This window comes from Homo sapiens, chromosome 7 (assembly GCF_000001405.40).
Source record: "Homo sapiens chromosome 7, GRCh38.p14 Primary Assembly".
Lineage (NCBI taxonomy): Eukaryota > Metazoa > Chordata > Mammalia > Primates > Hominidae > Homo > Homo sapiens.
This window is the reverse complement of record NC_000007.14, coordinates 89537796-89562446: the sequence shown is the minus strand read 5'-3', so window position 1 is coordinate 89562446 and position 24651 is coordinate 89537796. Positions and strand designations below refer to the sequence as shown.

The 24651-nt window shown below is 36.9% G+C and overlaps 1 long non-coding RNA gene across 1 annotated transcript, besides 1 other annotated feature; it reads left to right on the top strand.

Moving 5' to 3' along the window:
- The first annotated feature begins 1041 nt into the window (after nucleotides 1-1041).
- On the top strand, nucleotides 1042-6602 carry LOC107986817 (uncharacterized). The gene is made up of 3 exons (XR_001745266.1): nucleotides 1042-1127; nucleotides 5804-5855; nucleotides 6457-6602. It is a non-coding gene; the product is annotated as an uncharacterized LOC107986817 (long non-coding RNA).
- Nucleotides 12252-12466: a silencer, noted in NCBI's record as "fragment chr7:89179295-89179509 (GRCh37/hg19 assembly coordinates)". NCBI's record gives its function as "represses an EF-1alpha promoter that drives an FKBP-Casp9 reporter gene in an ReSE screen in K562 erythroleukemia cells {active_cell/tissue: K562}" and the evidence as "EXISTENCE:reporter gene assay evidence [ECO:0000049][PMID:32094911]".

The window sequence follows — 24651 nt, the reverse complement described above, 5'->3', positions numbered from 1 at the left end:
TATTAGGGATTGTGGTTAAATAAGTAGATTGTAGCTGTTCTTGTCACAAATAAAGTAACTATGTGAGCTGATAGATATGCTAATCTACTTTATTATAGCAACCCTTTTATTACCTATATGAATCCCATAATATCATGTTATAAGTGTCGCATATACACAACAACATTTATTTTTTTTTTAAAAAAAAAGCCCATAGAAATAAAACCATTGTGTGTGAATTCTTAATTTTTAGAGAAGAAGAGCTTGGAAATAGCTTTCAAAAATTAAGAGAATATCCTGTAAAGAAATATAACAAATCCAGGAATCAGAAAACAAAATTTAATATACACTAAATGTAACTACCTAAGTAAATCTTTGGAATAGCATTAACTGTTGTAAATGGAGATTGTTTATATTTTGAAACAAAGTCATATGACCTAAGTCACAAAGACTTTTACTAAGAAGACACAATAAGTATTTTAAAAATCTGTGTAGATATACTTCAGGGTATGAGTGATCTATATATAAGGAATATATTTTCTATGGGTATGAAGGAGAAAAAAAACTACTAGAAAATATACGGATGAATACTAGTTTTCCTTTAAAGAGCTTATGCAAGAAAGACAGTTAAGGCAGTTTATCAGTGACTGACAAGTAATACGTAAGTCAGAGGAATTTTGTAGATGACAGAATTAGAGGTCAGGACAACTTTTGTGTAATGTAGAATGCCAACTGTTGCTTTTCCCCAGACCGTCTTGGGCTCTACACAGAGTCAGACTAATTAGTCCCTGTCTTACTCAAGGAGTATATATAAGGAGTTCCAACCTTACCAGCTAGGTATAGGATACATTTTATTGCCAAATATCTGAGTTGTCCAGTATCTATGATGTGACCCTTGAACATTCGCTTGGCCTTGAGAGTCCCAAACTTGCATGGCCCTCTGCCCCACACCTTGGAGCAGAGGACTGAGGCTCTGCCTCAGCAGCTCTGCCTGGCACTACAGTTGCTCGTCGTCGTAGTTGAAGCCTTACCTAGAACTTTGGCTTTATTTTTTGCAGATGTGATACTCTAACAATGTCTGAAGCTCTGTCACTTGGGTGCTGAATCCTTTTCTATACTTTCTCAATACTGGTCAGGATTTTACGGTGGTAAGTTTGTTACCTTAAGCCCAATTTTATCTGTCATTGGCTTCCTACACTCCGTGGTTTTGGACCAGATTTTAGTTCAGATCTCAAATTCTGACTTGACCAAATCAGAGAAGACTTTGTGAACTTTGCATGGCTTGATTATCTCTTCTAATCTACTTTTCTAAAGGGCTAATTCTACAAATAGATCTGTTTCCCCGGCTTTCTCTTTTATATTACTTGCCTGCCTCTTCTCCAGTTGAGAGGATATTGGTGTGTCTGATTCCTTTTTGGCATTAGTTACTACAGGACAATATGGTTTCTGTTTGCAGCAATCACTGTCCCATGTGCAAGTTGATAATTAGTCCCTTGATTCCTCTGGGTCAGTGACCCAAGTGCTTTAGTTTGTGCATCATTAAACTATGTTTTCTGAGTTTCTATACATGTAGAGATATTTACTAGTTTTCACTCCTATTTCTGTAGCATTGATGAGCTTGTTTGTTATCCCCTGATAATGTATCATGTCTTATTGAGCTTGCAGATGCTTTGTTTTCTCTTCCTCTTCCCTTCTTCTCATAGTCAGGGTAAAGGTACCAAGATAGCTGGCATAAAGGAAATATCACAGTAGTTAAATAGGTGGATTATGAAGTTTTGTCATTGAATCACATTTCAAACATTAACTGTTTTTTATTTTTTGGTGGGGTGGGGGGCAAATCGTATCTACCCTCTTTAGATCTCTTAGATTTCTTATCTGTCAAATGAGGAAAATAATATATTTAATTTTGATGTAAGAATTTTAAGACAGAAATAAAGTGAAAGGCTTATAATACTTGGCGTATATTAAAGTCTTTGTAGATATTAACTATGATTATGGTAAGCATTTAAAATGTTTGTTAAATAAATAACTGAAACAAAATAAGAAATCATTAGAGTAGAAAAACAATTCAAGGGAAATCTTGGTCTCAGGAATACAAACAAAGAGTTAAGACTATCTGTCCACATAAAATTCAGGAAGATCTTTTGATATAATGATAGTTGAGAGTTAGAAAGTAGTTATGAGAATAACATTGTTTGTTTCTGTTAGCAAGACATAAGAAATATAACTCTAGCCAAATCTAGAAAGTATCAGTAGTGTAAAATATAGTAATAATTGGTCACTAAAGATAATAAATTATACAAGTACACTATACTCAAGATCAGCCTTCTTACTATCACTTTCTGTGCTGATGAAAATGTTCTTGGTCTCCAAGGTCTGTAATGATAGCCACCAGTCATCTGTGAGAATTGAGTATTTGAATTGTGGCCAGCGACATTAAAGATATTTTAATTTTAGATTTTAATTAGCTAGTTGCGACTCTATTAGTCCAGAGTCACATTCCTGTACAGAAAGTGTATCCATGCACCAACCAACAGCATCGATGTCATCTGGGAGTTTGTTAAAAGTGCACAAAAGAACTTTGGGGAGCAATGAAACCTGAAGACAGAAGGAATTTGAGTTCCTGAATGATCTCACTAAGCAGAGCCGCCTACCTACTCTGGATTATATGTCACTTTCAAGGGAGAAATAAATTTATTTCCTCTGTCTAATCTTCCCCTCCCTTTCCCTCCCCTCCCCTTCCCCTCCCCACCCCTCCCCTCCTCTCCCTTCCCTCCCCTTGCCTCCTGTCCCCTCCTTCCCCTGTCCTTCCTTCCTTCCTTCTTTCCTTCCTTCCTTCCTTCCTTCTCTTTCTTTTTTCACATACTTCTCTTTTTTTGTTCTTTTATGTCTTTTTCATTATGGCAGCTTAGCCATGCTCTGTGTGGTAAAGAGCAGAAAGTAGGGAGCAGTAAAAAGTTGATGTGCCTCATTTCCCCAACTGGATAACTAACCGATTTAAAAATAGTGTAGAATCTTTTAATATAAAATTCAGTTAAAACAACAAAAACATGGTTTTTGAAAGAAGAACCATAACTTGGGTATATTTTGCTATTTTAGAATAGGGTCAATAGATATATGATAAAAGAGATATATTAATTTATGTTTTGCTTACTTTTTTTGACAAATGCTGAAAAACATTTACATTAAAAGACTAAGAATTTTGAATTATCATGCAATTAAGATAACCTTTCATTGATGATCTAGGAATGAATAGTGTCTAAATATCCAATGGTTTATTTTTTGTCTTCACTTCTCTGGTCCTCTATACTTAATGTTCCATTGACAGGTATAGGCTGATTATTTTCAGATGATTTGAAAAGCTTAACTGTATCCATGACAACTACCATTAACACTGGTAGATTCCATCCTGTTTACAAATGAAATTCCCTAATTTTTACTGTAGACGTGAATAACATTCCCCAAACAAAGTGCTCTCCTCTTGGATCTCCACTAATCATTCTTAAGCCCAATCTTTCTTTGTTTCCCCCTTTACAATTATCTTTCTATCATGCCTTTTGGAAATTCTTATCAAGCTCTTCATTTAAGTAATTGATACCCATATTCTGTTGATCTGTGGATATTAGGACAGATTAAAACTTCTCTTGGGTAAAATAATATTCCTGGCCAGGCGCGGGGCTCATGCCTGTAATCCCAGCACTTTGGGAGGCCAAGGCGGGTGGATCACGAGGTCAGGAGTTCGAGACCAGCTTGGCCAACATGGTGAAACCCCATCTCTACTAAAGACACAAAAAATTAGCTGGGCATGGTGGCATGCCTTTAATCTCAGCTACGCAGGAGGCTGAGGCAGGAGAATCTCTTCAACCCGGAAGGGAGAGGTTGCAGTGAGCTGAGATCGTGCTATTGCACCCCAGCCTGGGCAACAGGGTGAGAATCTGTGTCAAATAATAATAATAATATTCCCAGGATGATCTCCTACGACCCAGTTATTTTATTGCATTCTTAAGCATATTAATATAATAAAAGAGTTTCTTTTTCAAAAGTTTATGATCACTTTACCCAAATTCTATATTTCCTTAAAATCTCTTTTATAAATGGTTAATACATTAATAGAACAGTTTTTAGAAATTCATCAAAATGTGTAGTTAACAAATTGCTTCAGTTCTGTCGTGACTTAGCAGCAGAGAAAGCTTCCACTTGTCACTGATAATTCAATCTGATTTATCACAAGAGCATATTGTTGATATTTGGATTATATAAATAGAATTGAAAATATTAGGGTTATAATACCTATTTGGCTCATATTTCTCTATTTCATTTATTTCTTTTATTAAGTCATTTTTTCTTCTAGGCTGCTTCATTTTTTGTTTGTTTGTTTTTGTTTCTTTGTTTCTTTTCTTTTCTTTTCTTTTCTTTTTTTTTTTTTTTTGAGACAGAGTCTCGCTCCTTCACCCAGGTTGGAGTGCAGTGGTATGATCTTGGCTTACTGCAACCTCCGCCTCCCAGGTTCCAGTGATGCTCCTGCATCAGCTTCTTGAGTAGCTGGGATTCCAGGTGCCCGCCACCATGCCCGGCTAATTTTTGTATTTTTAGTAGAGATGGGGTTTCACCATCTTTTCCAGGCTGGTCTTGAACACCTGACCTCAGATGATCCACCTGCCTCAGCCTCCCAAAGTTCTGGGATTACAGGTGTGAGCCACTGTGCCCAGCCTGCTGCTTCATTTTTTTAAGCAAGATAATATCTTATTTTTACTTTTCAATCATTTATAAACTTTTCAGATCTCAATTTGTTAATTAAAAGAGAATTTTTAAAAGCTTCTTTTGGTGGTCATGTAATTGTTGTTTATTTTGTGTAGAAAATAATTATTTTTAAACTATTGAAAAAAGCATTAGGTTCCTGAGCATATGAAACAGAAGGAAATGGGTAAAGAAATGATTAACTCGGGGACATAGATAAATTTCTGAAAACTATTTCTTAAAAAAAAACAGTAGTTGCGGAGAATACAGAATTGAATTTGCATACTGGTCCCTTTGCATACTCGGGTAGCATTTATTTTGGAATATTTTGAAGAAAAACATCAGGTTGATTAGTGAGAGAGTATTCATTCTGACCTAAAACAACAACAACAAAAACATGTGGAAGAAGTAATTATTAGAGTTATTAGGGTTACTAGAGAAGCTAAACTACCTGCAACTATATATTTTAAATTTTGTTTTGTTTTGTTTTGTTCTGCCTTATATTTGTAGAGTCTACATTTGTTTTGAATCTATAGAAGAGGGAGTCACTTTATTTGTGCTGGTGTCCAACACTTAGAATTGCTTCAGAGGAAAAAACAGCTACTTTGCATGCTACTTTAAATTGATCATCACTTAATCTTCACAACCATTCTATGAAGTAAATATTATTATCATTAATTTAGTGATTAGAAAACTGAGACTTAGAGAAATTTAGAAAACCAACCAAATTCATAAAATTAACACATTCTGCTGTCAGGACTCAAATTCAAGTCTCCACATATTCATGCCTTTCGTTAATGTTGATGTTACCATGTAGCTGTGTGTAATATGGTTTAATACTACAAAGTTCTCTCATAGATTTATCTGACACATCATTTACATAGGTGATACTACTGAGGTTAAGAGAGTTTGTGACTTTCCTAAGCAACACTCAGTGAAGTAGAATTCAAATCTGTCTCAATTTCTTTGGCTTCAGCCTGAATATTGACAGAATATAAATAACAAATTCCTTTGGTTTGTGGATCTCTATAATTCCCAAATATTAAATTTTCTATTCTGTTCCTTACTAACTTTCTTTTTTCTTTAGTTGTCTAGGAGAGAGCAACCATGATGGGCATGCAATGCTCAAGTTCACAGAAGTGAGTATTTCAGAGAGGGTGTGAGATATGACCAAATGTTGATGCTGCTTCACCTCTACTTCAGATAATGCTACTGTGCTACTTTTTAGACATCTTATTCTACACTTACAAGTGCGATACAATGATATTACAAGAATGTGCTAAAACAGTTATTAAGTAGAGATAATAATTATCAGGAGTGCCATGTACAAATAGAAAACAATTTTGGTAGTGTTTAGACTGAAGGCAAACATTGGGGATCCCTGCTTGATGGGAAATTAAAAGTAACAACAGTTATATTGCTATATTGATATCATATTTTTATATCATATATTAACACATTTTTATAATTTCATATCACCTAAATGTTTTATTTTCTATAAAACCTTTGAAACATGCTTAATTACACACAGTAATTGAACTTTGAAATAATAGTGATACTGAGACACTATCTGAATTTTGATCTTGAACTTTTCAAGCAAGACTTTATTTTAAAAAGCTCGTATTTAAAACTTCACTAGCTTGTTAATCTAAGAAAAGACCATTCACAGGAGGCTACCAAAGTAGCTACTGCCTTTTCAAAGTCCCAAATCCTTTAAACCTCTTTTCGCCTTCATTTTAGAAACATGAATAGCAAGACTCAAATCTGGCTGCCAGATTTCTGCAAGGTATTTTTCTCTCCAAACGAGGTAATGTGTTTCTTATAACAGTCTTTATAATAAGGAGATGTGTGTGGAAAAAAATCAAGTGTTAAACGGAGTCATGCAAATTAGCCATCTGGATAAAACAATGTTGTCTTGCCTAATATTTAGTTCACTGGATTCATAGTCTTATAAAGAATCTCATTTTTTTAGCCTTTGCAGTATTCCAGCATATTTGACCAATCCTTATAGTTCCTCAAATAGACAGTTCCCTTGAGAACTTAAGAACTCTGCTGATAAAAGCTGTGAGAAAGGATGATATTATATAAACAAACAAATTTTGTGATTTGATGGGTAGGCAGATTATGCACAGCAGAGGCCAGAGAGCTTCTACAATTTAAGGAGGAATCATGGCATTCTTCCTCCCATTGTTTGCTGGAGGCTTGTCTATCTACTTGTCTGAGGATGTTACTCCAAATGTTAAAAAAGAAAAAAAAAGATAAGAAAGGAGGAGAGAGAAGAGAGGAAAGGTGAGGAAAAACAGAGAAAGGCAAATAAAAATTGATGCATTCTTATCAGTTTACAAATAATGTTTGAGATGTTTATTCTGATGTTTATGACCTTCACTGTTCTAACTCTATTTAGTGTTCTAATTTGTGTTGCAACAATTTCTGTTCATTTGTCTTCTGTTCCAATTGAATGGAACTTGCCACTACTCCCACAGATGTCCTATGCGTTCCTCCCTAGGTGCCTTTTCTCATGAGTGTAACTTTTTCATATCTATTCCCTCTCCCTAGCAACCAATTCCTATTTTTTTCAGATGAGTTTATTGAGGCATGATTTATAAATTAGAAAATATACTCAAGTGAAAGTTTCAATGAGTTTTGACAAATTATCATTATATTTGAAATATAAAATATATACACAAAAATTTATTCATGATCCTTACAGTGAAATCTGCCTTCATTCCCCTGCACATTTACAAACACCCTGAACACAAGGCAAAAACCAATCTGCTTTCTGACATTATAGATTAGTTTTGCCCTTTCTAGAATTCCACATAAACAGATCCACGAGCAAATAAACTTCCATTGTTTGAGCCAAAAAAAAAAAAATTATTCTTCTATATGTGGTTTCTGTTCCTCAGTATAATGGTTTTTTGAGATTTATCATGTAGCTGCATTTATCAGTACTTCATTCATATTTATTGGTAAATAATAAACCATTATCTAGATATTACCAAAAATGTATTTATCTGCCCACATATTGCTAGATATTTGTTTCCAGTTTTTGATTATATGAATACAGCTTCTATGAACATGCATGTTGAAGCTGTGTGAATATGTGCCTTTTATTTCTCTTTAGTAAATGCATAGATATAGGATTGATGAGTCATATGATAAGTATATGTTTAGTTTTTTGAGAAACTGAAATAAGCTGTTTCCCCAAGAGGTTGTACCACTTAAAATCCCACCAGAAATTTATAAGACTGCTACACATATTCGCCAGCACATGATATTGTACGTCTTTCTGATTTAACTGTTGTAATGGATGCATAATGGCATATCATTGTGGATTTTATACGTATTTTCCTGATGACTAATAGTGCTGAGCCGTATTTCAGGATTTTTTTAAAACAATTTATGTATTGTGTCTGTACGAATCATTTGTGCATTTTTTTCAGGGTCATTTGTTTTCCCATTTTAAATTTTAGTTTCTTTTAATGGATTTGTAAGAATCATTTCATCTATAAGTAAAAATAGTTTTTTTTTGCTTCATTTTCTATCCACAGGCTATATATTGATTCTCTAGTATTATTCCACTGACTAGGTCCTTCTATATGTTGAGTAGGCATGTTGAAAATGTTGAATAGGTGTGTTGAAAATGCATATATTTAGTTTTCCTTTGATCCTGGGTGAAAGCATTTAGTTTGTCATCATTAAGTTTAATGTTAAGTTGTTTTCCATGAGTTACTGTTTTGTGCTTGTTGTTTATCATCAGTAAGTGTTACATTTTGACAAAGCATATTCTGCATCTGTTGAAATAACTGTACGGTTTTGTTTTTTTCATCTATTAGTACTGTGAATTACACTAATTGTTTTTAATGTTAAACTACACTTGCACTACTAGAATTGTTCATTTGTCAAATATCTTTGAACTGTACACTTGGTCAGGTGGTATTAATTTTTTTTTGTCTTTGGATTCCATTTGTTAAAATTTTCGTAAGGATTTTTGTTTCTATATTCATGAGAGATATTGATCTGTACTTTAATTTTAATGTCTTTGTCTCAATGTTTTATCATAGTAATGCTAGCTTCATAAAATTCATTGGAAAATACTCCCTCCCCTTCTAGTTGTTGCAACAATATGCATGGAATTTATATTATTTCATTTTCTTTTTTTTTTATACAATTAACCATTAGAGCCACATTGGTCTAGACTTTTCTTTGTGGAAAGTATTAAACTACAGACTCAGTTAACTTAAATAACATGAATTATTTAAGATATCTTCTATTCTAATGTGTTGTATTAGTTTTGGATTTGTTCATTGTATTTATGTTGAATTTATTCACAGTAAATTGTTTGTAATGGGCTCTTGTTTTGGTGTTAATATTCATTGTAGAATCTTTTTTTTCTGAACTGTCTGTCTAGGAGTTTATCAATTTTTCTGCTCTTTCAAAATAAGCTTTGGGGCACATTCATTTTCCTATTTTTATTTCAGTAGAATCTGTTCTTTCTAAAATTATTATTCCATTCCTTCTGCTTATTTTTAGCTTAATTTGCTCTAATTTTTTCAAACCGTATTTTAAGATGGAAGTTTAAATAATTAATTTTAGGATTTCTTCCCCTTGTAAAGCCATAAATATTCTTCTAGACACTGCTTAAAATTGAATATGTTGCATTTTAATTTTCATTTAGTTCAATATGTTTTCTAATTTTACTTGTAATTTCTCCTTTGACTCATAAGTTATGGGAAACAGTGAGACCAGAACAAGTATTATTTGAAAATCTGAGTAATGGGATAGGAAACCAAGGAAATGTGGTCTGAGTTTGTATATTTATAAGGGCGGTAATCCTTCTTTAGGAAACTGCATTAAGAACTCCTGATTAAAATTACTATTTTTACTCATTGTAAATTTTACACATATTTATTGGAGGTCTTCTTTGTGTCAGGATTTTTACTAGATCCTGGGACCACAAGATAAATAAGACAGAGAACCCTTACTGTCAAGGTGATTTTGGTCTAGGAGGGGAAATGGCAAAATATTCATATAATGCTGTGCAATATAAATATTTGTATTTTCAAATATTCTGGTAGCGATGTTAAGTAAAAAAAGTAAAATGAATTTTAATATATTTGATTTAACTATATATATATATCTAAAATATCATTTCAACATGCAGTCAATGTAAAATTATAAATGATGTATTTTGCTGCTTAGTTACTAAGTCTTCAAATATCCAGGATTCATCTGACAAATATAGCATATCTTAATTCAGACTGGTCACTTTTCAAGTACTCAGTACTCACATATGGCTGATGCAACTGTATTAAAACTCACAGTATTCTTGAAATATACAAAAATTGCCAATTTAGTCCTCTCAGGAATGTGTCTTTATTACATTGGATAAACTTCATGTCAGAGAAATTTAAGTAACTGATCCATGATGTTTCAGCAAATAAGTAAAAGAGAGGTGATGGGAACCAAACGTATTCTGTGTCATTTTCATGACTCTTGCTATATGTATAGTATCTAGTTTCCTTGATTCCTATCTCCTATTAACTCCTGACTTCTCCTAATCATCATTTTAAGTCATATAATCAAAAATGATGTGCTCAAGCATCACTGGGTCCGAAAGTTGAAGCAAAGTGCTCTTACTGATGTGAATAAAGGCTAAGGACAGGAATGTAATTTTCTCTCTCTCTCTCTCTCTCTCTCTCTCTCTCTCTCTCTCTCTCCCTTTGTAAGAGATAGGATCTCAGTATGTTGCCTAGGCTGGAGTGCAGAGGCTATTCACAGGCATGGTCATAGCGCACTGCAGCATGGAACTTCTGGCTTCAACCTCCCACCTCAGCTTCTAGAGTAGCTGGGACTACACGTGCGGCTGCCCAGCTACATATACATATATGTGTATATGTGTGTGTGTGTGTGTGTATATACACACATATATATGATATATATGTATATACACACACACATATATATATACATATATATGATGCTATGATGCTTCTCTTTACAATGCTGGTTAGTCAAGTTTATATTCTTTATATTTTCTTACATCTTAAAAGAAGTGTAAAAGTGTATTCAAAGGTGAAGTACTGTTTTCTGGCAGTCCTAATCCTTACTCTATTTCCTGCTTAGAGTTTTAAAGAATAGTTGGGAGAATTCTACTTGGATAATAAGCAATAATGGGTTATATTTGGTTAAAATGATTAAAGTGGGCTTTCCTGTAAATAATCAGATAAAAAAAGCTTTCTTTTTATTTATTGACCAAGAAACTGGGACTAGTTGACGGACTTAAGGGCCTTGTACCCAAGCAACAATATGTCAAAATGTTACTAGTATGGTCTAGGCTTATTTATAAGCCACTAAATCTATGTCATATTTTTGAGATTAAATTTCTTGTGTCCAAAGAAGTTTTTGCATATGTATGGGTGAGAAATCTGCAAAAACCCATGTTAAGAATTAACTGACTTGTTGGAAAAATTTAGACTCATTAATCCATTCACTCACTGACACATACATACATATTTATTAGATATGAGTGACTTGAGTGCTGGAATTGCTTTACTGAAGCCACAAGAGTTCTGGTTTCTAACATTATGTCTAATTAGATGTCTAAACTTAGACAAATCTTTTAACCTATCAGTGCTGTCTTCAGTTAGTATAGTCTGAAAACTTATGAGCCTATGTATGGCTCATGTCCATTGAGCGTTTAAGAGTGAGACAAGGCCTTGTTTCCATTGCAGTCCAATCAGATATATAGGCAAAAGTACTTGATTCATCACAAGAATTCTATGAAGAGCTTTGATCCCTAAATTTCTGCTTATCAGCTCCTAAATCTTGCCATATTTTTAGACAATATCTGATTGTTGGTATTGTTTTTTAATTCAAAAAACATATTGAAAAATATTTTAAAACAGCTAAAATAGAGCGGTTTGCCACATTCTTAGAAAGAAGGAATTAAATATAATTATAAATATATATGTTATATATTATATATAAAAATTTTAACCTCATTGACATATAGTTTTGGTAGAATTCCAGCCAACTTCTCAGCATTTTGAAACAGCTAGACACTGACTTGCATCAGGAATGATGATTTCAATGCTGGATTGGAGGCATCGGCTAGCATGCCTCACCCACCTGAAAAGACAAAATAGTGTGTAGAAATTCATGCTGCGAACTATTTTCCAAGAGGCAACATAGGAACTTAACAGGAACACACTGAAATAAACCACAGACCCTTTGAAAGAAGAGGTGGGCTGTAGCCTACACTATGAGCCAGGCAGAAAACTGTGAGTCTCCAGAGTGTGAGGGGAGAGAGACTGCCTCTGTGACACACGCTCCCTCTGGGAGACCTGGTAATCCAGACCACAGGGGAATGTCTTAATCCTTGCCATCACTCGAGCTGATTTAGTGAGTGGTGGGGAGCAGATGAGAAGGAGTGGCATGGGGATGTGCTTTGTGTACACTCCCAGACTCCAGTGGGGATGGAGGAAAGCCATTACTGGTCCTATCTCACAGAGGACCTTGCAGAAGTCCACCAGTTAACTCGGGTGATGGTCACAGAGTGAGGGAAGCTTCCAATTAGGATATGTGATATAATATTGAGTGGAGACAAACTCCCTTGGCCAGAACTGAGAGGTGAGTGGGAAGTGTGCTGTAGCCATGGGTGCAGGAGCTGGATGCTCCTGCATCATGGGCAAAGGGGAGGGGTGTGCTTTCAAATCTATGGTTTCAATCTCAGCAGGGAAGGCTTGTGGCCTGGGGCAGTTTTGAGTTCTCAGTGCAGGCTGCTTAAAACCCAGCAAGCTGCTGCTAGTGGAACTCTACAAATGTGAGACCTACCTTGACAAATGCACGGGAGCTGGGTAGGGCTTACTACCACCTGCTACCCACCACTTCCCATGTGGATTCTTCTGTGCAGCAAAGGCAGCTGTGCTCCTTTCTGGAAAGTCTCCCTAGTGCCCAGAGAACTGCTCTCCAGTCTCCATTGGGTCTGATGCTTGTGCCTGCATGTAAGGAGCAAGAGTGCAGATTTGCCTAAGCCCCCACCTGGCTTTGCTCTTCCACCTGCCCTGGTAGCTTAACACAAAGGACAGGGACTTTTGGCGGCTCCCTGGCCCTGTTCATTGCCTGAGATACCAAGGTACCTTCTTCGGGTAACATAAGGCCTATCCATTTGCAAGTAAAAAAGTATGCTTGGAGATAAATGAATTTGCCAATGTGAAGAGATTGGCAACTTACAAGAAGCGAAGTGCCTCTTTTTGGTTAGGGCAGAGAGAGCTTCTATGGTGGAGTGATGGTAGTAACCCTGGGTTTCTCCCAAGTGGAGTGTATGGTGATCAAGTATTCACTTTTTCATTGAGCTGAACCAGAGAAGGGAATGCTCCTTAGTTAAAGCTATCCTTAATAATCAAGGCTCCCAATTAATTATACTTCCCTGTTTCTACTTACTTCATTGCCTACAAATTAAAAAAAATTATTCCTAGTAAATATCTTCTCTGCGTGAAATATTGTTCTTGGATCTGAGGCTTCGACAGTGGACAAAATAGTATTTTCTTTGTCTTATGGAGCTTATATTTAAGTCAGGGAGACAGATACTAAAAATTAGGAGAAAAATTAGGTACATATTTAAGTTAGTAATAAGAAGTAACATTTAATAACAGGCAAAGGGAAAGAGAGTGATGGATAAAGTGTTACTTTAACAAAGGTCATGAGGCAGGAGTCTCTGGTGGGATGACATCTGAGGAGAGGCCCGAGTGAAGTGAGGGGTGAGAGGCACTGACATCTGGGAAAGAGAGCTCCAGGGAGAGAGAATGAACTTGTATGGATACTTTTGCTCACACTATTGTCTATGCCAGGAGGGTTTGTCTATTTTCTCTGCCTACCAGTATCTTATTTATCTTCGAAAGTCAAGATTGAATATTCTTTCCTCTTTGGACCATTTCCATTTCAAAGAATCAGTAAGATCTTTTGTCACATTCCAGGCTAATAGAACCTTTTGTTCATATGCTAGAATAGCACTTGTTTAATTGCCAAATAATTATTAAAGTATGTGCTTGTGGTTGAGGACACAAATAGGAATACTTGCCTTCCAGAAGCCAGTGAAATTACATACACTTCCCTCAAGGAACACCCTGAATTTTAATTTTCTGTGCTCCTTATCACTCCTTTATTAGACTAAAAGTAACCTGAGGAGAGAGACTAGGTCTTATTCATGTTGATATTACTACATAAGTGTAGCATGTCCTATGTGTTGCAAAATGGCATATAGCCTATAAATATTGTGTGTAATATTAATAAAGAGTAATGCCAACATTCATTTAGTAGTGTCAAGGAGTTGCACATCAGGATATAATTTTAGCTATGACTCTAATTGAAAAGTGGTTTTTCCTGCTTAAGGAAATAAGATAACATTCTCTCTTTGTAGCAAAGAAGCAATACTAGGCTGAAGAAATTTAATTCTGGCATGACAGAGATCATGTATAAGACAGTTAGCTCTTAAGGCCTAGTGTGCAGGAAGCATTCTGAAGAGCATGCTGAGGCTATCAAAGCTGCTATGGAAATAAATTGAAAATGCTGTTCTTAAAGTCAGCTTTAAACAACTGCAAAAGTGAAGACCAAGAATATGAATGTGATTACAGAAAGAGCCAAATCCAATGCAGATCATTGTAGAACAAGCTTTAAAGAGAAAGACCTGTAGCAAGGCTGCTACTTTTAACAATGCAGGCTGTGCTTGCTGCACAACACCAGGAGACATCACTACATGCACCACTATGCAAATGGTGCATTCTGGAGGTGTGCAAGGTGACAGCTACTAAGCTACTAATTCCCTTTCTCCAACAAAACCCAAAGCCTCAGAACCCAGAGTAGAAAGTGACTGGTTCCTTTGTCACCCAGGCTAAATGTTTCCTCTCTTTCATTTTTCAGTACAATTTGTAACTGGTATTAGAATATTATTCTTCATTCAAATAGATACATCTTAAAGTGCAAAATTCTTTTCTCAGTGTGCTTAATAAAAATATCCACAATTTTTACATTTTTACTAAACATTACATTAAAGATTCCCTATAATATAATCAATTGCTTCTTGAATAGAAAGAACAATTTTTTACTACGCAAAAGATTTTGATGCCATAGTAGTTAAAACAAAGTTAAAAATAAATTCCTGACAGAATCCCATTTCAACAAAGTTTCTTTCTGTCTTTCGTGCTGCATATTATAGGCATTCAAGAATATTTGGAAATCACTGGGTTTCATAACAGTTATAGGTGGCTTGTGGCCCCTAAAATCAGCTTGTGTGCCATCTTTGATGATACACACTAGGCTTGCCATTATCAGGACCTGCTTGCGCCTCTTATCTCAGGTTCAACCAAACATGGCCCTTTTACCACACTCAAGTCAGACAAGCTGGAAATTGATTCTTGCCTTCATAGAAAATGTCCTAAAATGAAGCATAGATTTGGAACAGTGCCAGCAGGGTAAACTTTCCTGTTGTTCATGTTTACTTGTTTCTGTGGCCCACTCTCTCAGTCTATTTCTGCTCCTTTCATTGCTGGGTCCTGATTTCTGCTGGCTTTCTTCCTAGACCTTTGAGATTCACATGTTCCTACAAGCTCTGCCAAGCTACCATGGGCAGCAGTGACTTCTGGTGTCTTAAGCACGCACTCTTAAACTTCAATTCTGATTCACCTTGGGTACTTGATTCTCAACTCAACTGCTACCATCAACCTCCAGAAGTAAGGACAGTCTTACCTCATCTTTTTTTTTTTTTTTCTATATACTTTAAGTTCTGGGATACATGTGGTGCAAAACATGCAGGTTTGTTACATAGGTATACATGCGCCATGGTGGTTTGCTGCACCCAATAACCCGTCATCTACATTAGGTATTTCTCTAATGCTATCTCTCCCCTAGTCCCCCAAGCCCCGACAGGCCCTGGTGTGTGATATTCCCCTCCCTGTGTCCATGTGTTCTCATTGTTCAACTCCCACTTATGAGTGAGAACATGTGGTGTTTGGTTTTCTGTTCCTGTGTTAGTTTGCTGAGAATGATGGTTTCCAGCTTCATCCATGTCCCTGAAAAGGACGTGAACCTTTCCTTCTTTATGACTGCATAGTATTCCATGGTGTATATTTGCAACATTTTCTTTATCCAGTCTATCAGTGATAGACATTTGGATTGGTTCCAAGTCTTTGCTATTGTAAATAGTGCTGCAATAAACATACATGTGTATGTGTCTTTATAGTAGAATGATTTATAATCCTTTGGGTATATACCCAGTAATGGGATTGCTGGGTCAAATGGTAATTCTGATTCTAGATCTATGAGGAATCACCACACTGTCTTCCACAATGGTTGAACTAATTTACACTCCCACCAACAGTGTAAAAGCGTTCCTATTTCTCCATATCCTCTCCAGCATCTGCTGTTTCCTGAGTTTTTAATGATCGCCATTCTAACTGGCGTGAGATGGTATCTCATTGGGGTTTTGATTTGCATTTCTCTAATGACCAGTGCTGATGAGCTTTTTTTCATATGTTTGTTGGCCACATAAATGTCTTCTTTTGAGAAGAGTCTGTTTATATCCTTTGCCCACTTTTCGATGGGGTTGTTTGTTTGTTTTTTGTAAATTTGTTTAAGTTCTTTGTAGTTTCTGGATATTAGCCCTTTGTCAGATGGATAGATTGCAAAAATTTTCTTCCATTCTGTAGGTTGCCTGTTCACTCTGATGTTAGTTTCTGTAGGGAGACCCCCTGAAACTATTGCTATGGAATAAAAGATGAAATGCTCCTGATTATTGTAAATACAAAATTGCATGCAGGATTGTGTAAAGACAATGCCAGGTTGGACTGCCAGAATGAGCCAACAGTGCGTGATGTGCTTCCCCCTGTAGAGAGCCTGTGAATGGACGTGCAGTCAGGGAGGTTTCACATCACCAAGATTCCTATCCCAGAAAAGCAGATGTTCATAGCTCTGGGAATGGAATGTGACCCTTGTGGAAAGCCTATAAACGAATGCATGGGGAGCACCTGTCCATATGGATGAGATAAGGCTATAAACGCCCTCATCTTGCCACGGCTCTTCTAGGCCTCTTTAGGGTTAAGGCATACTCCCTTCTGAGAATTGCTGGTCTAACCGGTTGTCTAGCTTCAAGTCCTGTTTCTATGGATTGTTTGTAACCAGCTTTTGCTGCAACTGTTACTGCTGATTAAAATCTTGCTAATCATAGGTAAAGGAAAGACTGTGTTTCTGTTTTAAGGCTCTGTTAGAAATTACTGATACACACACTATATTGTAAATTCTTATCTCTGTATACTGTACTTCTGCATACAGATGTTATGTTAAAGAATTACTTCATCCCCATGTGACCATCTCACCTCATAATCAAATGACCCTAAATCCCTTACCAACCTGCCCCCGCCCTCACTAAACTTAGTAATAAATGCTGGTATATCCAGTGCATTGGCGGCACCATGTGACCAGAAGGCGGTTACCCCCCTGGACCCAGCTTTCACTATCTTGTGTGTGTCTATTATTTCTCGACCTGCCGATCCACCTGGGAACAAAGAGAGAGCCCCAGTGCATTGCAGGCTGCTGGCCAGATCCCGCAATAGTTTCTTTTGCTGTGCAGAAGATCTTCAGTTTAATTAGAACCCATTTGTCAATTTTGGCTTTTGTTGCCATTGCTTTTGGTGTTTTAGTCATGAAGTCCTTGCCCATGCCTATGTCCTGAATGGTATTGCATAGGTTTTCTTCTATGGTTTTTATGGTTTTAGGTCTTAGCTTTAAGTCTTTATTCCATCTTGAGTTAATTTTTGTGTAAGGTGTAAAGAAGGGGTCCAGTTTCAGTTTTCTGCACATGGCTAGCCAGTTTTCCCAACAGCATTTATTAAATAGGAAGTCCTTTCCCCATTGCTTGTTTTTGTAAGGGTTGTCAAAGATCAGATGGTTGTAGATGTGTGATGTTATTTCTGAGGCCTTTGTTCTGTTCCATTGGTCTATGTATCTGGTTTGGTACCAGTACCATGCTGTTTTGATTACTGTAGCCTCGTAGTATAGTTGGAAATCAGGTAGCTTGATGCCTCCAGCTCTGTTCTTTTTGCTTAGGATTGTCTTGGCTATATGGGCTTTTTTTGGTTCCATATGAAATTTGAAGTAGTTTTTCCTAATTCTGTGAATAAAGTCAATGGTAGCTTGATGGGGATAGCATTGAATCTATAAATTACTTTGGTCACTATGGCCATTTTCACTATATTGATTCGTTCAATCCATGAGCATGGAATATTTTTTCCATTTGTTTATGTTCTCTCTTATTTCCTTGAGCAGTGGTTTGTAGTTCTCCTGGAAGAGGCCCTTCACATCCCTTGTAAGTTGGATTCCTAGGTATTTTATTCTTTTTGTAGCAATTGTGAATGGAAGTTCACTCATGATTTGGCTTTCTATTAATGGTGTATAGGAATGCTTGTGATTTTTGCCCATTGATTTTGTATCCTGAGACTTTGCTGAAGTTGTTTATCAGCTTAAAGAGATTTTGGGCTGAGACGATGGGGTTTTCTAAACATACAATCATGTCATCTGCAAACAGACACAATTTGACTTCCTCTCTTCCTATTTGAATACCCTTTATTTCTTCCTCTTTCCTGATATCCCTGGCCAGAACTTCCAATACTATGTTGAATAGAGTGGTGAGAGAGGGCATCCTTGTCTTGTGCTGGTTTTCAAAGGGAATGCTTCTAGTGTTTGCTCATTCAGTATGATATTGGCTGTGGATTTGTCATAAATACCTCTTATATTTTGCGATATGTTCCATCAATGCCTAGTGTATTGAAAATTTTTAGCATGAAGGAGTGTTGAATTTTATAGAAGGCCTTTTCTGCATCTATTGAGATAATCATTTTTTTTGTCATTGTTTCTATTTATGTGATAGATTATGTTGATTTATTTGCATATGTTGAACCCGCCTTGCATCCCAGAGATGAAGCCGACTTGATTGGATAAGCTTTTTGATGTGCTGCTGGATTCAGTTTGCCAGTATTTTCTTCAGGATTTTCACATTAAATTGCATCAGGGATATTGGCCTGAATTTTCTTTTTGTGTTGTGTCTCTGGCCAGGTTTTGGTATCAGAATGATGCTAGCCTCATAAAATGAGTTAGGGAGGAGTCCCTCTGTTTCTATTATTTGGAATGGTTTCAGAAGGAAAGGTACCAGTTTCTCTTTGTACAGAGGATTAGAATTCGTCTGTGAATCCATCTGGGCTTGGGCTTCTTTTGGATGGTAGGCTATTAATTACTACCTCAATTTCAGAACTTGTTATTGGTCTATTCAGGGATTCGACTTTAGTCTTAGGAGGGTGTATGTGTCCAGGAATTTATCCATTTCTTCTAGATTTTCTAGTTTATTTGCATAGAGGTGTTTATAGTATTCTGTGATGGTAGTTTGCACTTCTGTAGGATCACTGATGATATCCCCTTTTATATTTTTTATGCTGTCTATTTGATTCTTCTCTCTTTTCTTCTTTATTAGTCTGGCTAGCAGTCTATTTTTTTAATCTTCAAAAAGCAGCTCCTTGATTCATTGATTTTTTTGAAGGGTTTGTCGTGTCTCTATCTCCTTTAGTTCTGCTCTGATCTTAGTTATTTCTTGTCTTCTGCTAGCTTTTGAATTTGTTTGCTTTTGCTTCTCTAGTTCTTTTAATTGTGATGTTAGGGAGTCAATTTTAGATCTTGCCCACTTTCTCCTGTGGGCATTTAGTACTATACATTTCCCTCTAAATACTGTTTTAGCTGTGTCCCAGAGATTCTGGTACATTGTGTCTTTGTTCCCATTGGTTTCAAAGAACTTATTTATTTCTGCCTTAATTTCGTTATTTACCCAGTAGTCATTCAGGAGCAGGTTGTTCAGTTTCCATGTAGTTGTGCAGTTTTGAGTGATTTTCTTAATCCTGAGTTCTAATTTGATGGCTCTGTAGTCTGAGAGACTGTTATGATTTCTGTTCTTTTGCATTTGCTGAGAAATGTTTTACTTCCAAATATGTGGTCAATTTTAGAATAAGTGCTATGTGGTGCTGAGAAGAATGTATATTCTGTTGATTTGGGGTGGGGAGTTCTGTAGATGTCTATTAGGTCTGCTTGGACTAGAGCTGAGTTGAAGTCCTGAATGTCCTTGTTAATTTTCTGTCTTGTTGATCCCTCTATTATTGACAGTGGGGTGTTAAAGTCTCTGACTATTATTGTGTGGGAGTCTAAGTCTCTTTGTAGGTCTCTAAGAACTTTCTTTATGAATCTGGGTGCTCCTGTTTTGGGTGCATATATATTTAGGATAGTTAGCTCTTCTTGTTGCATTGATCCCTTTATCATTATGTAATGCCCTTCTTGGTCTTTCTCGATCTTTGCTGGTTTAAAGTCTGTTTTATCTGAGACTAAGATTGCAACCCCTGCTTTTTTTGCTTTCCATTTGCTTGGTAAATCTTCTTCCATCCCTTTGTTTTAAACCATGTGTGTCTTTGCATGTGAGATGAGTCTCCTGAATACAGCACACCAGTGAGTCTTGACTTTATCCAATTTGCCAATCTTTGTCTTTTAATTGTGGCATTTAGCCCATTTACACTTAAGGTTAATATTGTTATGTGTAAATTTGATCCTTTTATTATGATGCTAGCTGGTTATTTTGCCCTTTAGTTGATGCAGTTTCTTCATAATGTTGATGGTCTTTACAATTTGGTATGTTTTTGCAGTGGCTGGTACTGGTTTTTCCTTTCCATATTTAGTGCTTCCTTCAGGAGCTCTTGAAAGGCAGGCCTAGTGGTAACAAAATCTCTTAGCATTTGCTTGTCTGTAAAGGATTTTATTTCTCCTTCGCTTATGAGCTTAGTTTGGCTGGATATGAAATTCTGGGTTGAAAATTATTTCTTTACGAATGTTGAATATTGGTCCCCACTGTCTTCTGGCTTGTAGGATTTCTGCAGAGAGATCCGCTGTTACACTGATGGGCTCCCCTTTGTGGGTAACCCAACCTTTCTCTTTGGCTGCCCTTAACATTTTTTCCTCCATTTCAATCTTGGTGAATCTGATGATTATATATGTGTCTTGGGGTTGCTCTACTTGAGGAATATCTTTGTGGTATTCTCTGTATTTCTTGAATTTGAATGTTGGCCTGTCTTGCTAGGTTGGGGAAATTCTCCTGGATAATATTCTGAAGAATGTTTTCCAACTTGGTTCCATTCTCCCTGTCACTTTCAGGTACACCAATCAAATGTAGGTTTGGCCTTTTCACATAGTCCCATATTTCTTGGAGGCTTTGTTCATTCCTTTTCATTCTTTTTTCTCTAATCTTGTCTTCATGCTTTATTTCATTAAGTTGATCTTCAATCTCTGGTATCCTTTCTTTCGCTTGATTGATTTGGCTATTGATACTTGTATATGCTTCACAAAGTTCTCATGCTGTGTTTTTCAGCTCCATGAGGTCATTTATGTTCTTCTATAAACTGGTTATTCTAGTTAGCAATTCCTCTAACGTTTTTTCAAGGTTCTTAGCTTCATTGCATTGGGTTAGAACATGCTCCTTTAGCTTAGAGGAGTTTGTTATTACCCACCTTTTGAAGCATACTTCTGTCAATTCGTCAAACTCATTCTGCATTTAGTTTTGTTCCCTTGCTGGCAGGGAGTTGTGATCCTTTGGAAGAGAAGAGGCATTCTGGTTTTTGGAATTTTCCAGCATTTGCACTGTTTTTTCCTCATCTTTGTGGATTTATCTACCTTTGGTCTTTGATGTTAGGGACGTTTGGATGGGGTTTTTGCATGGACATCCTTTTTGTTGATGTTGATGCTATTCCTTTCTGTTTGTTAGTTTTTCTTCTAACAGTTAAGCCCCTCTGCTGCAGGTCTGCTGGAGTTTGCTTGGAGGTCCACTCCAGACCGTCTTTTCCTGGGTATCACCAGCAGAAGCTGCAGAACAGCAAAAATTACTGCCTGTTCCTTCCTCTGAAAGCTTCATCCCAGAGGGGCATCCACCTGATGCCAGCCAGAGCTCTCCTATATGAGGTGCCTGTTGACCCCTATTAGGACGTATCGTCCAGTCAGGAGGCATAGGGGTCAGAAACCCATTTGAGGAGGCAGTCTGTCCCTTAGCAGAGCTCCAGTGCTGTGCTGGGAGATCCGCTGCTCTCTTCAGAGCCAGCAGGCAAGAATATTTAAGTCTGCTGAAGCTGTGCCCACAGCTGCCCCTTCCTCTAAGTGCTCTGTCCCAAGGAGATGGGAGTTTTATCTATAAGCCCCTTACTGGGTCTGCTGCCTTTTTTTCAGAGATTCCCTGCCCAGAGAGGAGGAATCCAGAGAAGCAGTCTGGCTACAGTGGCTTGGCAAAGCTGCGGTGGTCTCCACCCAGTTCAAACTTCCAGGTGGCTTTGTTTACACTGTGATGGGAAACCACCTACCCAAGCCTCAGTAATGGTGGACGCCCCTCCCCTGACCAAGCTCGAGCATCCCAGGTCCACTTCAGACTGTTGTGCTGGCAGCAAGAATTTCAAGCCAGTGGATCTTAGCTTGCTGGGCTCTGTGGGCATGGGATCAGCTGAGCTAGACCACTTGGCTCCCTGGCTTCAGCCCCCTTTCCAGGAGAGTGAATGGTTCTGTCTTGCTGGCATTCCAGGTGCCACTAGGGTATGAAAACAAACTCCTGCAGCTAGCCTGGTGTCTGCCAAATGGCTGCCCAGTTTTGTGCTTGAAACCTAGGGCTCTGATGGCGTAGGCACCCGAGGAAATCTCCTAGTCTGCAAGTTGCGAAGATAGTGGGAAAGGCGTAAAATCTGGGCCAGAGTGTACCCTTCTTCAGGGCACAGTCCCTCATGCCTTCCCTTGGCTAGGGGAGGGAGTTCCTCAACCCCTTGTGCTTCCTGGGTGAGGTGACAACCCACTCTGCTTTGGCTTATCCTCTGTGGGCTGCACCCATTCTGGCTGGCAGGATGGCAGAATAGGAACAGCTCCGGTCTGCAGTTCCCAGTGAGATCAATGCAGAAGGTGGGTGATTTCTGCATTTCCAACTGAGGTACCCAGCTCATCTCATTGGGACTGGTCTGATCTCATCTTTCTGGTCCTTTCCACCTGTGCTGGCTTTCCTTGTTCTCCTGAATGCTGAGCACATCAGCTGCTGTCCATCTCCTGGCATTTAGAGGGCAACTTGGGATCTCAGGTTGTCAGTCAGACATCCTGGTGCTGTTGGGATTGCTTCAAAGGTAATTCTGAATGGAGCTACCATATAGAGAAAAGCACTTTGGGTCCTCGGAAAAAAATGGATAACCAGCAGAGTTGTGGAATTTTTGAACTAAGCATGATGGTCTAATCAGCTCTCCTCTATAATCATAGATGAAAAGACATGTTCATGATATAGTTTTATTAAGAAAAATTACAATAATAATTTTTACTAAAACAAGACAAAAAAGCAATGTGGAATACTGATTGTAAAATTCCCCAACTATATGTATATTATACATATAGAAAAGTAAAATTGCACAACTATATTTATATTTTGATCTCATTTTTAGTGGAAAACTAGACACACCTGTCTATAAGAGCATGATTATTATGGGCAAACATAATTCTAGGACCTCTATATGTATTATACCATTTAATCTTTATAACTACCTTATTCATTAGATGTGATTACCAACCCAGTTGCCAAAATGAAGGCATTGCTGTGAGGAGAAGTTAAGTAACTTTCTCAGATTTGCAGAACTGCTAAGACTAGATCTGAACTCAGAGGGATTTGAACTCAGGCAGACTAGCTGCCTAGTAGTATAGTATTAACCCTTCGTTACATTGCTATTCTCATACATATAAATTCACAGGAAAAGGCCAATACTAGTGTTTACACTTGGAAAGTGGATTGAGAAGTAGGAAAGGTGTGAATGGGATTTTACGTTTCACTAAATATAATTCTATTTTCATTGATTTTTTCTTTAATTAAATGAAATTAAGAAATACTATTAAAATAATCAAGGTTTTTTTCCTGTGGATCAATGCCTATGCACTGTAATAATTTGTTTCTGATACTTATGAATATATTACAATCTCAAATCTACAGAAAAGTTGCAAGTGCATTGTCAAACCTTATTTTCCATGATGGTATTTGAGGATATGTTGCTTGCTCACTTGATGTTCTATAACCCTTGAATATTTTAGTGTGTATTTTCTACAAACAATATATTCTTCTACATAATTACAATAACCATCAATACCAAGAAATAAACATTGGGACATTACTGCCATCTAAACCTCAGACATCATTCAGGTTTCATCAATCACACCAATAGTGACCTTTAGAGCAGAATGATGGAGTTCAGAATCATGCATTGCATTTAAATATTCCTCTTTAGTTTCTTTCAATCTGAAGCAGTTCCTCAGTTTTTCCTTAGCTTTCATGAGCTTGAAGTTTTTAAAGATTCCTGTACATTTATCTTGTGGTACGGCCTTCTACTTGGAGTTGGCTCATGTTCCTCATTAAGTGCATGGGATGCTATGTTTTTCTCATTGCATTCTGTCAAGTGGCAAAGTATTTTAGTTTATTTAATTATTTATACTGTTGACTTTGATCACTTCATTAAGGTGGTGTCTGCCAGGCTTCTTCACTGCAAAGTTGCTCATTTTCTCCTTGTAATTAATCAGTATTTTATGAGGATGTACTTTGAAACTATATACATATCCCATTTCTCATTAAGCTTTCAAATTTTCCATTTATTTATGTATAACAGCATAGACTCATGATTCTTATTTTAGTTGATGGGTTATCCCCTATTAATATTATTATTTATTTTGAAGTTTAAATTGTCCATTTGGTTGGCTCCTATATCCTTTTAACATGCTCCCTCTTTCTTTGACAATTTTCTAACTTTATAGTCCAAAATATTCTGGGTTTACCCTTTTTTTTCCCCCACCTTATCCCTGTTT